Source organism: Homo sapiens, chromosome 7 (genome assembly GCF_000001405.40).
Source record: "Homo sapiens chromosome 7, GRCh38.p14 Primary Assembly".
In the NCBI taxonomy this organism is placed as follows: domain Eukaryota; kingdom Metazoa; phylum Chordata; class Mammalia; order Primates; family Hominidae; genus Homo; species Homo sapiens.
Genome location: NC_000007.14, coordinates 129,719,851 through 129,735,772, shown reverse-complemented (window position 1 = coordinate 129,735,772; position 15,922 = coordinate 129,719,851). Strand labels below are relative to the sequence as shown.

Below are 15,922 nucleotides of genomic sequence, written 5' to 3'. Positions count from 1 at the left end.
CCTCCCAAAGTGCTGGGATTACAGGCGTCAGCCACCGCGCCCGGTGGTCTTATAGTTTCAGAAAATATGACGTTGAAGTCTTAAGGTGGAACCTCAGCAGCAAGACTGTTGCCAGGACCAGCCCAGAACGTGGGACACGCTACCCTGAGGATACTTGCGAAGGGCTGTTCCTTCTCTAAGTGTAATGACAATGCCTTGTCATCAGCTTTAATTTTTATTCTATTTTATTTTTATTTTTTATTTACTAGGAAGTCTCACTCTGTCAGCCTGGCTGGAGTGCAGTGGCACAATCTTGGCTCACCGCAACCTCTGCCTCCCGGGTTCAAGCGATTCTCCTGCCTCAGCCTCCCAAGTAGCTGGGACTACAGGCGTGTGCCACCACGCCCGGCTAAATTTTATATTTTTAGTATAGACAGGGTTTCACCATATTGGCCAGGCTGGTCTCGAACTCCTGACCTTGTGATCCGCCCGCGTCGGCATCCCAAAGTGCTGGGATTACAGGCGTGAGCCACCGCACCCAGCAGCTTTAATTTTTAAACAGCCCTCCAGTCCATTTCTCTTCATTCAGAACATGAGGAGGGAGGGTTGAGACCCTAGTCTTAACCAGGGCAGCATAGGTGGTTTCTGAGTCTTCAGTGCTGACCAGCGGAGACAGATGTGCTCTTCAAAATCTCTGGGGGACCCCAAGCAAGGGCTGTAGGCAGAGCCAAGTGGAAGACCCGGTGAGGAGCTGGGGAAACAAATAAGCCAATAAACTCGCTCCAGGCAAAAATGAACACGCCCCTGACCCTTTCCCCAGGATCCACAGCCCTACCACCTTGGTCTCAACTTTGTTAGAGACAGGTGGGAAGGCTGAAAGAGTCCTGGCCTAAACTGAAGGGCAGCAGGAAGGCTTGAGCAGAGGCTTCTAGGAGCTGATGAAACAACTCGTCTGCTGGGGTTCCTTCCTTCTGAATATCATCTACTTCCCCTTAGTTTCCCTGGCTCTAAATAGCACCCGTAGCCCACCACCCAACTCCAGTCAAGAAGACACATTCACTAATTGCAAAGTACTCTGCTCACTGAAAATGTTTAAGGCTGACAGCCAGCCAATGATGAGTTCTGCAACCGGAGAAGCATACAGACCTGTCGGCTCCTCTGGCCAGCAAAGGCAAGCCTGTGTGTGTGCAGAGGGAGGGCTGCTGAGCCCGGGGCACTCAGCAGCATGAACCTCCAGGGTACCCCTACAGCCCTCGGAACAGCTGGGCAGATGGGTGCTGTGGCTAAACTAGACTAAGGCAAGCAGCCTCTGGCAGGGGTGGGGAAAGGTTTGACATTTCCAAATTTATTTGTTCAACAATGGTTATCACCCTGTATTTGTGGAGTCTAGGCAGGAACCCAGAGCTCACATCAAAGGGAGACAGTGTAGTACAGTGGTTTGGAAACAAATTGCCTGAATTGTCTGCCACTCTCTATGTGAACTTGGTTAAGTTACTGAAACTTTCTGTGTCTCAGCTTCCCTATGTGTTAAATCAGTTTAACAGTGTTTACTCATAAAGTTATCATGCGTTTTAAATATAATGCATGTAAAACACTTAGAATGCTTATACATAGTAAGATTATGTAAATTTTGTTAAATGAATAAAATAATGATACAACAGGATTGAGAGACAGAATGCAAGGTCAACAGCTGAGAAGTATGTTGATGTCCTAGGTCAGAGAGCTCCACAAGTGGGGTATGCCTTGCTAACATCTTTTTTTTTTCTTTTTTGAAATGGAGTCTCACTCTGTCATCCTGGCTGGAGTGCAGCGGCATGATCTTGGCTCACTGCAGCCTCGACCTCCTGGGCTCAAGGAATCCTCTCACCTTAGCCTCCTGAGTAGCTGTGACTATAGGCATGAGCCCAGTGCTGGGCTAATTTTTATATTTTTTGTAGAAACAGGGTTTCACCATGTTGCCCAGGCTGGTCTTGAACTCCTGAGCTCAAGCAATCCACCTGCCTCAACCTTTCAAAGCGTTAGGATTATAGGCATGAACTACTTTGTCGGGCCTCCACTAACATCTTTATTACAAAAAATGAAATTGAAAAAAATCAAAAGAATATAAAGGAGAAAGTGAAATTTCAAAGTGCAAGAACACTTGCTTCCCTCACCTGGTCCATCTCTGTGATGAAAACTCCCTATAACCCTGAACCTGGGGAAAGCTGGGGTAGAAGCAGAGGAGAAAACTTGAGTCAATTTTACAGTTTATTAGTGGTTCTGTTTAAAGGCTTGTTAGCATAAAAAATGGCTAAGATAGGGTTTTCTTTCCTTTTCTTTTTTTTTTTTGAGACGGAGTCTCGCTCTATACCCAGGCTGGAGTGCAGTGGCGCAATCTCGGATCACTGCAAACTCCACCTCCCAGGTTCACGCCGTTCTCCTGCCTCAGCCTCCCGAGTAGCTGGGACTACAGGCACCCGCCACCGCGCCTGGCTAATTTTTGGTGTTTTTAGTAGAGACGGGGTTTCACTGTGTTAGCCAGGATGGTCTCAATCTCCTGACCTCATGATCCACCCGCCTCGGCCTCCCAAAGTGCTGGGATTACAGGCGTGAGCCACCGCACACGGCAGGTTTTATTCTTTCAAATGAACTTTAAAATCAGTATAAAGTTCATATTCCCAAAACACTCTTTGGAATTTTGAATAAAAGTTTTTTCAAATTTAAAAGATGAACCTTTTGTTTGTTTGAGACAGTCTCGCTTTGTTGCCCAGGCTGGAGTGCAATGGTGCAATCTCAGCTCACTGCAACCTCTGCCTCCTGGGTTCAAGCAATTCTCCTGCCTCAGCCTCCTGAGTAGCTGGGATTATAGGTGCCCACCACCATGCCCGGCTAATTTTTGTATTTTTAGTAGAGATGGGGTTTGACCATGTTGCCCAGGCTGGTCTGGAACTTTGGGAGGCTGAGGCGGGCAGATCACCTGAGGTCGGGAGTTCGAGACCAGCCTGACCAACATGGAGAAACCCTGTCTCTACTGAAAATACAAAAATAGCTGGGTGTGGTGGTACATGCCTGTAATCCCAGCTACTCGGGAGGCTGAGGCAAGAGAATCACTTGAACCTAGGAGGCAGAGGTTGCGGTGAGCTGAGATTGAGCCACTGCACTCCAGCCTGGACAACAAGAGTGAAACTCCGTCTCAAAAACAAACAAACAAACAAAAACCCCAAAGGACAAAACCCAAAAAAACCCCACTCCAAACCAGCAAATGCTACATCCTCTCTTTTTTCTTGTAGCATCATTAGGAAAAGTGTCAGCTATATTAAAAAATGCTGATGCTTTCTTAGCAGCTCTGCTAAGAGGCTTATTAGGTTGGTGTGAAAGTAATTGCACCAACTTCAAATATGCCATTCCTTCTAATGGCAAAAAAACCCACAATTACTTTTGCACCAACCAATACTTACGAACTTGTTAATCTATTTTGTTTTCCCCCATCTACTTTTCAGGAATGAAAGATAGCTGTATAAATCTGCAATAAGATCTCAGACAGAAGAGTGTTTCTGAGGTGGCCAAGTCCCAATATAATCCTTCTCTTTCATTACGTTTGCTGCAATAGGAAGGAAGAGAAAGGTCTATAGGCCTGGTTTTCTGAGGCTTGCCAACAATGGGTGTTAAGGTCTGGGTGAGAGGTGAGAGGCACTCAGCAAAGAGCTCCTCAAGTCTGAGTGAATGCCTGTATCTGTCAGTCCTGGAGGTCAGGAGTCCTGGAACACAGGGGGTTCTGGGGACCAGCAGAGAGGAAGGCAGAGTGAAGAAAAACAAATGGGCTGAACTGTATGACTTCTTACATTAAGGTGTATAAGATGAAAAGAGTATTGAGATAACTATGTTCAAAAAATGAAGTAAAGGGCCGGGTGTAGTGGCTCATGCCTATAATCCTAACACTTTGGGAGACTAAGGCGGGAGGATCATTTTGAGCCCAGGAGTTTGAGACCAGCCTGGGCAACAAAGGGAGATCCCATCTCTACAAAAAATATAATTTAAAAAATTAGCGCGGTGTGGCAGTGCGCACCTGTGGTCCCAGCGTCTCAGTAGGCTGAGGTGGGAGGATAGCTTTAGCCTGAGGTCAAGGCTGCAGTGAACCAGTCTAGGTGACAGAGTGAGACCCTGTCTCAAAACAAACAAACAAACAAACAAACAAACAAACAAGTAAAGGAAGGAATTAATCTGGTAGCCTTCACCAGCCTTAGGCAATTCTACCTACATCTAAATGAAAAGGCATCTGTGAAAATCTTTATATTGAACCGAACCATGAAACTCCATCCTAAGAGACCAAAGACTCTATTGAAAAAGACAGAGAACATAGAAATAAAGTAATGTGAGTGCTTGGGTAGTTCCTTTAGTGTCGGGGTAGTGTGGGGTACATGTCCAGAAAGAAGTCTTCAGGGTGCGCAGGTGCTAGGTGCAATGTCTTCATCAGGTCTGCTTTGGTGATCCAAAATTTAAACTTCTGGCTTGCATGGGTCATTACCTTTTTTTTTTTTTTTTTCAAGACGGAGTCTTGCTCTGTCGCCCAGGCCGGAGTGCAGTGGCATGATCTCAGCTCATTGCAATCTCCATCTCCTGGGTTCAAGCGATTCTCGTGCCTGGAACTCCCGATTCGCTGGGATTACAGGTGTTGCCACCATGCCTGTCTAATTTTTTGTATTTTAGTAGAAACAGGGTTTCACCATGTTGGTCAGGCTGGTCTCAAACTCCTGACCTCAGGTCATCCACCCACCTTGGCCTCCCAAAGTAGTGGGATTACAGGTGTGAGCCACTGAGCCTGGCTTTTTTTTTTTTTTGAGACAGGGTCTTGATCTCTCACCCAGACTGGAGTGCAGTGGTGTGATCATGGCTCACTGCAGCTTTGACTTCCTGGGCTCTAGCAGTCCTCTCACCTCAGACCCCCAAGTAGCTGGGACTACAGGTGTGCACCACCACTCCTGGCTAATTTTTTAAAATTTTTGTAGAGATGGGGTCTTACTATGTTGTTCAGGTTGGTCTTGGACTCCTGGACTCAAGCAATCCTCCTACCTCGGCCTCCCAAAGTGCTGGGATTACAGGCATGAGCTACTGTGCCTGGCCTATGGGTCATTATCTCTAACTTGAAAAACACCATCCCCTAGGATACTGCTTCATAACCTCACCCGCCCGCGCCACTTCCCAATGGTTATGGACTTCATCAGGCTCCACATGCAGTGGTCCTCTATCCCTGCTAGTTCCATCCCACAAACTCTTTCTACTTCAGAACTGAATGATATCCAAATTGCTCTCAGAAGAGTCATCTGCTATTCCAATTTTGATTTAAACCATACTCTGAAATATGGGATACATGTTTTCCCCTAAGTAGTATCTGTTTCCAAGTTAGTTCTATGTCAACAAACAGCACCTTGTTCTGCTATCATCTGGTTCTTCCTGATAATAAACTCTTTCTGATTAAAAAAACTTGGCCTGGACAGGGTGTGGTGGCTCATGCCTATAATCCCAGCACTTTGGGAGGCAAAAGTGGGAGGATCGCTCGAGCCCGAGAGTTTGAGACCAGCCAGAGCAATATGGAGAGGCCTCATTTCTATTAAAAAAAGAAAAAAGATTAAAAAAAAATGTGACCTACTGGCAGATACCATAAGCTTGTCTGCCCAGAAGTGACAAACATAGGCCCGGCACAGTGGCTTACGCCTGTATTCCCAGTACTTTGGGAGGCTGAGGTGGGTGGATCACCTGAGGCCAGAGTTCAAGACCAGTCATGGCCCATCTCCATTAAAAACACAAAAATTATCTGGGCGTGGTGTGGCACGTCTATAATCCCAGCTACTCGGGAGGCTGAGGCACGAGAATCATTGGAACTTCCAGGAAGCAGAAGTTGCAATGAGTTGAGATTGTGCCACTGCACTCCAGCCTGGGTGACAGAGCAAGACTCTGTCTCAAAAAACAAAAACAAAAACAAAAAGAAGCAACAAACTCTGGCAACAGGACAGAATCCGAAAGAATGATGAAAAAGAGAACCTCTAAAAGTCTAGCCAGATATCAAAATTGCTGATTAAGAGGGAAAAATCTGGTTCCAATCCCAAAGTAAATACTATAGCACTGTGGGCAAAAATGTTAGAAGATAAGAGGATTATCAAAGTTACTTGGATCATATCCCATATGAGATTCATTCTTTGGATTCCCAAGGGCAGATGAAATGATTGGCCTTTGCCTAAAACTGCTGGGATACGGCACAACTCAAGGGTCTGATTTGATACAGAAATGCTGCATTCAGAAAGAGATAACTTCCAACTCTCAAGGCCTGAGTTCAGCAAGTACTGGCAGTCACAGACTGAGGATGGCCTGCTTTGGGGGAAATACTGGCTTTTAGGATGCGAACCAGAATTTTCCCAGATCACAAATGTAGCCAACAACATGAAATCACACCAAATGATTCACACAACCCAATGCTACTGAAAAGAGGCAGCTTCCAGTAATCAATAGTAGCGGGTGTGGTTCAACTTTATTGTATGGCTGAACGGTTCTACTTGGCCGAGAGCCAGAGGGTCCTTGGACTTATTATAAATTCATCCATCTGAAAAGGTGATGCTGGGGAGGAGCCAGAATTATAAAGCAGTCTGTTCTCTCCCAGACAGGTCAAGTCGATTAGAATGGATAATAAAGTTTCCTACTGAACCCACATGGGAAGTTATTTTTAGCAGTTCCATAGTGAATAAGAGCAATCACACTTCACATGAATGCCACATAAGCCAGATATCCTACCCTTTGCTCAGGGTGCCTTAGGACTCTGATGAGGAATAGAAAAAGGTAAAAAAATAGAAGTAGGAGTCTAGCTAGAGAGAGAGGTTCTCCTTAATTCCAACCATGGTCCATTTCATCCTGAACATGTGTGGCTATAAGATGTCCTTTGTCCTACAGCATTCTGGTTGAGATCAACTCTGTCTAGATTTAGATAAGCACAAAAGCCTCTTTCCCTACAGAAAAAGTAGGCTATAGTTTTAGAATTGAATTTGTTTGGCATCTTTGGAAAATGATTCTCAGAAGCCACGATGGCTCTTTGCATTTCCTATGTTATTCTTCTCTGGCGGGACAGAGGTACTTTGTTTCCTCCTATTCCAAAGGAGGACACAGCACTATGTCTTTCTTCAAAGACTTTTCCAACTAACAGAGCATTCGGTTCTTAGGCACCTACCATAAACAAAGTGCCAGGTACTTTTCTTTCTGCCACTAATGCCATTAAGGAACCTTCTGCCTACATGATGAAAGTATGTTATTTATCTATCCTCATTCCAGGATTGGTTTTTTTTTTTTTTTTTTTTTTTTTTGAGACGGAGTCTCATTCTGTCACCCAGGTTGGAGTGCAGTGGCGCAATCTCAGGTCACTGCAACCTCTGCCTCTCGGGTTCAAGCGATTTTCTTGCCTCAGCCTCGCACACCACCATGGACAGGGTTTTGCCATGTTGGCCAGGCTGGTCTTGAACTCCTGACCTCAGGTGATCCACCCACTTTGGCTTCCCAAAGTGCTGGGATTAATAGGCATGAGCCACCGTGCCCAGCCCCATTCCAGGACTTTAAAGCAACAATTTCCCCAAAGCCATGGAGTATTTAATTTGTCCTGCTTAATTATATATTATTTAAAAATATAACAATCACATAGGGTCTCACAGAACAGATCTGGCCCTCCTCTTTGACCCAGACTTCTGAGGCACTTCCTTGGGCAGCTTGTCTTGCCAACTGACTCCTTACCAACATGGACCCAAAGAACTGGGCTGAAGTTGTATATTTTTGCCACCATATTTCTATGAATTTTATCCCTTTTGCTTATTCAGGATATTCACCAATGTCCAGGAAGTCAAAGAGCTGGGGAAGAAGCTCAGGGTAGGGGCATGTAATTGGCTAAATCCAAAGGTCCTTCGTGAGGCTACATATAACAGGAAGCAGAACCACAGTACCAACCAGAGAGGCACCGGCATCACAGCCTGCTGCCTGACCCCAAGCACAGGTGAGACATTGGCGCCTTTCTTGATGTAGTCAGAACTTTCCATGATGGTCCTGCCCATGAGAGAGTCTCTGCTACAGTAAAGGACATTGATCTACCCTATCCGATGAGACAGTAAAAGACAAAATGTGGCTCACAGTGAATTTTAAGGTGCTTCTCAGCAAGTCTTGTCACAAGACGATAATCACTTTTTAAGTAACAATTCAATTAGGTAGCCATTATCACAGTATTTTCCTTCAGGAACCCCCATGTTTCCTACTAGTGAAAGGAATCACAGGCTCCCAGAATATTCCTAGGCATGAAATGTCTACCAATGAAGAAAAAAAAATCGAAGCTCAAACTCTTTCTGAAGGCTTTGTTGCCAGTCATGTCAGGAAGGTTTAAGTGGAAACAGGGAAGAAATTTAATAAAATATTTATGCTCTCTTACCATTAGCATCTTGGACTCCAGTAAGTGCTCCGACGGCTGCTGCGGTTTCCCCAGACAAGACGATCTGTCCCCCACCTTGTAAGGTGGCCTCAGCCAGGGTGGCGACAGCATGGGCGGCAGCTTCGCTGCGGGCACAGGAACAGGAGAGAGGATGATGAATAGAGGAACAGCACTGCAGCCAAGACAAACCATCCTTTCAATGCCTTCCTTGGGTCTTTCTACTGACTCCATGGTTGTGATCCTACCAGCAAATATGTGATAACAGTGCTAATAGATAAAGCCAAGAGTAATTTTGAAATAATATTAATGGCTAGAGAAATCTCAAGTCTTACATAGCTATAAAGCTAATGGTGAGAGTTTCTCAGAACCTCGGTAATTGAGTGTTTGAGGACAGAAGGCACTCATTATCAGTTTCTTCCTTATCAATATCAGCTGAGTGCTTGCAAGCCATAGTGAAAGCTCTGATCCATATTCACAATGCAAAAGCCATTTTGGTTGTCAATCACAAGGTTTTCCTTTTCTCTTTTCTCCTCACAGTAACATAAGGCAGACCATCTGAGACTGTCCTTTTATAGCCAAGGATGAATGATAATATGAGGAGTCAGCAGCAACCTGGACTCACTCTTCAATTAACACTAAATATTAATTTGATTTATAGTTATGCTTTTCAAATACAGAGTAATGGCTGATTAATATCCTGAAAAGTCCAGCTCTTCCCTTTGACTCACTGTATATCCAGGCAGGGCTAAAACAAAGACTTAAAGTTTAAAATTATCACTGCAAGTCCAAACTGTATAAATACAGTTTGCCTCTATAATTACAACAAAATAATAAACCTCCCTACATAGCACAAATGCTCTGTAGAATAGGAAGACATTAACCATTTGTTTATAGCAAGTACTATTTTAGCAGTGTGTCCCATTTTTCTTTCTTTTCCTTGCTATATGCTTTTACTATGTGCATAAATACCCATTTTTCTTGATTCTATGATGCTACAAACTGTAAGACATACTATTATTTCATGGGCCAGTAAGGAAGAAAAATTCCTGACAATTGTAAGATTATAATTTGCCATCCAAATTTCAGAGATGTAAAAATGTGAAAAAACAGGCAATTTCATTATCCCTTCTGGTAAAGTATCAGGTGTCAATTTGCAATTACTGAGGGACTATCGAATTCCAGTAGGCACAGAATAGAGATGGTGGTGCCATTTAGTTTAGCAGAAGTGGACAAATAAGCCAGTCGAGTCAGCTTTGCTCTGAAGCTGCAGGATTTGCTGTAACATGGCAGTGGTCTTGTAAGCACAAGCCGTAAGTGGAGGTGGGTAAGGGGACAGGGACTAATTGGAGTAAACATGTTAGGACTGTGGGCAAAGCAACATGTACCAAACTCAATACAGTCTCCTTTACCTAAGACAGTCAGCACACAAGTAAAACAACAGATATAGTAATTCCCCTGCAAAAGACTTCTTGGTCACTGTAAGGATTTTAGGAAGCAGGAAAAGAAACCGAATGGACAGAAAAGTGTCATTAAATAGAAGAATTTCCTCTTCTTACTAATTTGTCTTGCTTTTTAATTTTTATGCCTGTGTTTTAAACAGTTATCTTTTTCTGATAATAAAAGCAGTATACTTGCTTTTATAGAAAGTTTGAGCAAACTCTATTAAGTATAAAAGAAAATTTTAAATATCATAATTATTTCCTTCTAATCTTAAATACAACTTCAAAAAGATAAGATAAGGCCAGGCATGGTGGCTCACGCCTGTAATCCTAGCTCTTTGGGAGGCCAAGGCGGGCGGATCACCTGAGGTCGGGAGTTCGAGACCAGCCTGACCAACATGGAGAAACCCCGTCTTTACTAAAAATACAAAATTAGCCAGGTGTGGTGGTGCATGCCTGTAATCCCAGCTACTCAGGAGGCTGAGGCAGGAGAATTGCTTGAACCCGGGAGGTGGAGATTGCAGTGGGCCGATATCATGCCATTGCACTCCAGCCTGGGCAATAAGAGTGAAACTGTCTCAAAAAAAAAAAAAAGATAATAATTAGGATTGTACTGTACAGTTTGAAAAATTATTTTGTTGTGGTAAAATGCACATAAAATTTACATTCTTAACACTTAAGTGTGCAGTTCAGGGAGTTAAATACACTCAGAATGCTGTGCAGCCATCACCATCATTCATCTCCACAACTCTCTTCATCTTGTAAAACTGGAACTTTAAACTGGACCATTAAACTTCCTATTCTACCATCTCCCTAGCCCCTGGCAACCACCATTCTACTTTCTGCCTCGATGATTTTTTCATTTTTGTTTTTATTTTTTTAGAGATGGGATCTTGCTATGCTGCCCAGGCTGGTCTTGAATTCCCGGGCTCAAGCAATCCTGCTTTAGCCTCCTGACGCAAATAGCTGGAACTATAGGTGTGTGTGCCTTTGTTGTCATATCTAAGAAATCACAGGCAAATCCAATGTCATTACATTTTGCCCCCATGTTTTCTTCTAAGAGTTTGATAGTTTTAGGTCTTAGATCCATTTTGAGTTATTTTTTGTCTCTGTGATTTTGACTACTCTATCTCACATAAATACAACCACACAGTATTTGTCCTTTTGTGTCTGGCTTATTTCACTTGGCAGAATGTGCTCAAGATTCATCCACATCGTAGCATTTGTCAGAATTTCCTTCCTTTTAAAGGCCGAATAATATTCCATTGTGTATCCATTCATCTGTCGATGATCACTTGGTTGCTCCCATGTTTTAGCTATTGTGAATAATGCTGCTGTGAACATGGGCATACAAATATTTCTCTGAGATCCTGCTTTCAATTCTTTGGGATATGTACCCAGAAGTGGATTTGCTGCAACATACGGTAGTCCCATTTTTAACTTTTTGATGAATTATCATATTGTTTTCCACAGTGGCTATGTCATTTTACATTCCCACCAACAGTGCACAAGGGTTCCAATTTCTCCACATCCTCACCAACACTTGTTATTTTCTGTTTTTTGGATTGTGGCCATCTTAATGGGTGTGAGGTGATATCTCATTGTAGTTTGGATTAGTGATGCTGCACATCTTTTCCTGTGCTTATTGGCCATCTGCATATCTTCTCTGGAGAAATTTGGAGAAATGTCTATTCAAGACCTTTGCCCATTTTTGAATAGAGTTTTTGTTGTTGTTGAGTTTTAGACATTCCCTATATATTCTGGATATCAATCCCTTATCAGATACAATTTGCAAATATTTTCTCCCATTCTGTGGCTTGCCTTTTTCCTCTACTGATAGTCTTTTGATGCACACATTTTAAGAATTTTCGTAAAGTCCAATTTGTCTATTTTTCCTTTGCCATATCCAAGAAATTACTGGCAAATCCAATGTCATGAAGTTTTGCCCCATGTTTTCTTCAAAGAGTTTTATAGTTGTAGGTCATGGAACCACTCTGAGTTAATTTTTATACACTGTGTTAGGTAAAGGTCCAACTTCATTCTTTTGTATGTAGATATCCAGTTTTCCCAGCACCACCACTCACACTTCTGATTTCAAAACTTAACACAAAGCTGTAGTAATCAAAACAGTGTATAGTACTGGCATAAAGACAAACATATAGACCAGTGGAATAAAATTGAGAGCTTAGAAATAAACCTTCACCTATATGGTCACATGGTTTTTGACAAGGGTGCCAACACCATTCAATAGGGAAAGGACTGTCTTTTCAACAGGAGACCCTTGATCTGGAATTACTACTAAGACTGTTCTTTACATTTTTCATGACAGAATTTAATTTTAAAGTGCTTTAAAGTATTTATTAGAGAGACTTTAATGAATATTTTTTAGTACCTAGGCCCTTAATTTTTAATATTTTGCTAAGAAAGTTATGTTAATAAACACTACTACCAACCACTGGGAAAAAAATTTTTTTTTTTTTTTTGAGATAGAGTTTCGCTCTTGTTGCCCAGGCTAGAGTGCAATGGCATGATCTTGGCTCACCGCAACCTCTGCCTCCCAGGTTCAAGCGATTCTCCTGCCTCAGCCTCCCGAGTAGCTGGGATTACAGGCACCCGCCACCATGCCCGGCTAATTTTGTATTTTTAGTAGAGACGGGGTTTCTCCATGTTGGCCAGGCTGGTCTCGAACTCCCAACCTCAGGTGATCCACCCGCCTCGGCCTCCCAAAGTGCTGGGATTACAGGCATGAGCCACCGCACCCGGCCTGGAAATTTTATTAATTACCTATGTCGGAGAAAAAAAAAGAAAAAGATACATAAATATATGACCAGCCAATTTTACAGCATCCACCTGTCAATGATTAATGATACAAATATTTACGCTGTGACCTGAGACTTTATGGAAAGCAGAAAAGTATACTCTTTGGAAAAAGCTGTGTGATAGTCTGAAGAAGAAAACTGTAAATGAGAATTGTTTATATGGAATTAGGATCTTTGTTTATAGGTCACCTCAGTGACTGCTTATTTCCTGTAATTATTCTTACAATTTACAATAATCTCATCTTTATGACCATCAAAGATGACATCCTGCCACTCCTGTACATCCTGAACACACTCTGGCAGAATGAGTTTCATGGGCAGTGAAGGGAGAGGGCAGCTCCCCAAGCCTTGACAGGAAAGTGTACCTGCAACTGATCATACTCATTTCCACTTAAAGCCCTAAAAACTTGAAGTTATCTTCTTTAACTTCTTTCTAAAATGTGGTATGGTAGAAGAAAAGCTGAAAACCAGCAACAACCTAAAACAATCTGGAATGCCAGGGATGAGGGGTCCAATGCAATGGGGGTGACAGGTTGACAGATCAGTACGATTAATTATTCAGTCCCCAGTTAAGGTCTTTACGTGGGGCATGAAGACAACGATGATGCCTATGGTAAGCAGGGCTATCATTTCCAGAGTGATTCTAACCTTTTACACTCAACTTTATGGGAAACGACCAAACTAAACTGCTAGAAAGATTTTTTTTTTTTTTTTCTGAGACGGAGTTTCGCTCTTGTGGCCCAGGCTGGAGTGCACTGGTGTGATCTCGGCTCACTGCAACCTCCGCCTCCCAGGTTCAAGCAATTCTCCTGCCTCAGCCTCCCGACTAGCTGGGATTACAGGCATGCACCACCACGCCCGGCTACTTTTGTATTTTTAGTAGAGACGGGGTTTCTCCATGTTGAGGCTGGTCTCAAACTCCTGACCACAGGTGATTCACCCACCTCGGCTTCCCAAAGTGCTGGGATTACAGGCGTGAGCCACCACGCCCAGCCTAGAAAAAGATTATGTTCACTTAAAAAGGTGAATAGGGATTAAAAAGGCCCTGAGCTAGACCACTTCACAATTTTTAGACAAAAGTCATTTCAAAACCAAAGCTATAAATAAGAGGTTTCCATCAACCTTTTATCTGTAAGCGTCTAATCTTTACCTGTAGGAAAGAAAAGCAGTTGTACCATCCCTGACTTCTCTTCCAGAGAAGATTTCTGATCTAAGTTTTCCATCCCATTTTATTGGACAAATATCACTCCGTATATAAAAGCCCCATTTTATTTTAATAATATGTCTAATTTTAAGTCAATAATATTTCATCTTAAAGACTAAGAGCAGCCAGGCCTGGTGGCTCATGCCTGTAATCCCAGCACTTTGGGAGGCTGAGGCGGGTGGATCACGAGGTCAGGAGATCGAGACCATCCTGGCTAACACAGTGAAACCCCCTCTCTACTAAAAATATAAAAAATTAGCTGGGCGTGGTGGTGGGCGCCTGTAGTCCCAGCTACTTGGGAGACCGAGGCAGGAGAATGGTGTGAACCCAGGAGGCGGAGCTTGCAGTGAGCCGAGATCGCGCCACTGCACTCCAGCCTGGGTGACAGAGCAAGACTCTGTCTCAATAAAAAAAAAAAAAAAAGACTAAGAGCAAATTTTTCTTTCAAAATATGACTTTTAAAAGCAAAATCTTCACAACAAAAAAAAAGACAAATTCTAAAATTCCTTGAGAAGAGGAATTAATCTAAATATTTCCCCATAGCACTGAGTCACAGCCCTGCACACAGTAGACACACAATAAATACTGTCTCAGTGTTAACAATATACTATCAAGTAAGTTTCCACTACTTTAGAAACGTAGAGTAAGTCTACAAAGCCAAATCATGATCTCTACATGCAAGGACTATACTGGCCATATTCAGGAAATGGGTTTGTAGAAGGACATGTTTAAGAGGAACTACAAGTCCAGGACAGCTTAACCAAAGAACTGAAAGTTCAAATTAATCACTGTATCACAAGTAAATGATAATATTACTTCCTTTCCTCTCTGGTTGTTCAGGCTAAATAGCTTATATATAAGCTATTTTTTATATACATATATATGGTATTATATATATGTATGTATGTATATACACACACATACACACACAAATTTTTTTAAAGCTGTGATGTTCTGCTCATTTGTTCACTTTGATTCCCTTCCCACCTCCTTTCCAAAAGTGCTGATTTATTCTTTATTTTGAAAATGAAAATTAACATAGTTTTTAGGTTTTTAAAGGACAATTTCTCCATACCCACTTTGGGTTGTTAGAAAGCCAGGGTGGGCTAAAGGCCGTGGAGCCCTGGGCCCTTGTGACTTGCAGTATGAAATTCTCTTAACAGCGTGGTTGAGAAACAAGTCTGTCCTGCAACTGTCCTGATCCCATTTTACCCTGTAAAAGATGAAGGAGCCCCTCTGCCTCCTTATTCCCCAACCTGCCATTGCACGTAGCTTCCTCTCCCTTCTCACCCTGCGCCCACATCTGCTGTTTACATTGCAGCAGAGGTGCAGGTGGTTATTAGAGAACCATGCTTGTTTTATCTGCACCCAAAACAGAGCAAGCTGCAAGAGGGCAGATTATGAAACTGCTTTGTCATCATAGGAACAAAGACCAGATTTCTCTGTGTATTTCTTACTGAGATGACTTCCAACAGCAAATTCTGTGGAGAGGCTCAGAGTGCAAGGACTAAATGATTCTACTGCATCTCGTCCACAAAGAAGCGAATGTTAAGGGCTTGTTTCTTACATCCAACCCTCCTGACTAAGACATTAGACCATGGGTTACCTCTGTTGGGTTCAGAAAGCCCTGATATTCCCCTAATAGTCTGCTATAGTCTAGTCTCTGCTGCCAGGCTTGGTTTCTTCATCCCCAGCAGAAGCTGCAATCCACCAACCCCTAACACTCATTGGGGCATCGAACTACCTGATTGCAAAGAGATTTCAACATCTCTTTATTCCTCCTCTATGCCACAGTGAACACATTCTCCTTCCTTTGGAGTAAACACTGAGCCACCTCAGCTGCATCTAAGTTTGTTAACAAGCCCTCAGGGGATACCATTACCCGCTTGCCTTTAGAAACAAGCCCTGGTCCTTATAACAAAGAGAGCCCAAATGTGCCTCATATTTTCCACTATGTACAGAGTTCCCAGGACACACACACTTCACTGGAATATCCAAGGTGTTGGCTGCAAGTCTCAATGAAATCAAGTTTTGCTGGTCTTTAATGAGGGCC

At 42.9% G+C, this 15,922-nt stretch overlaps 1 protein-coding gene across 4 annotated transcripts in view; it reads right to left on the bottom strand.

The window, feature by feature from the left end:
* Nucleotides 1-15,922, bottom strand: part of NRF1 (nuclear respiratory factor 1) — a 145,357-nt gene that overhangs the window by 21,304 nt on the left and 108,131 nt on the right. For all 4 annotated transcript variants that reach the window (NM_001293163.2, NM_001293164.2, NM_005011.5 and 1 more), the window contains one exon: nt 8,408-8,532. In NM_001293163.2, coding sequence (NP_001280092.1) covers nt 8,408-8,532 — 125 coding nt within the window. The remainder of the gene's footprint in view (nt 1-8,407; nt 8,533-15,922) is intronic.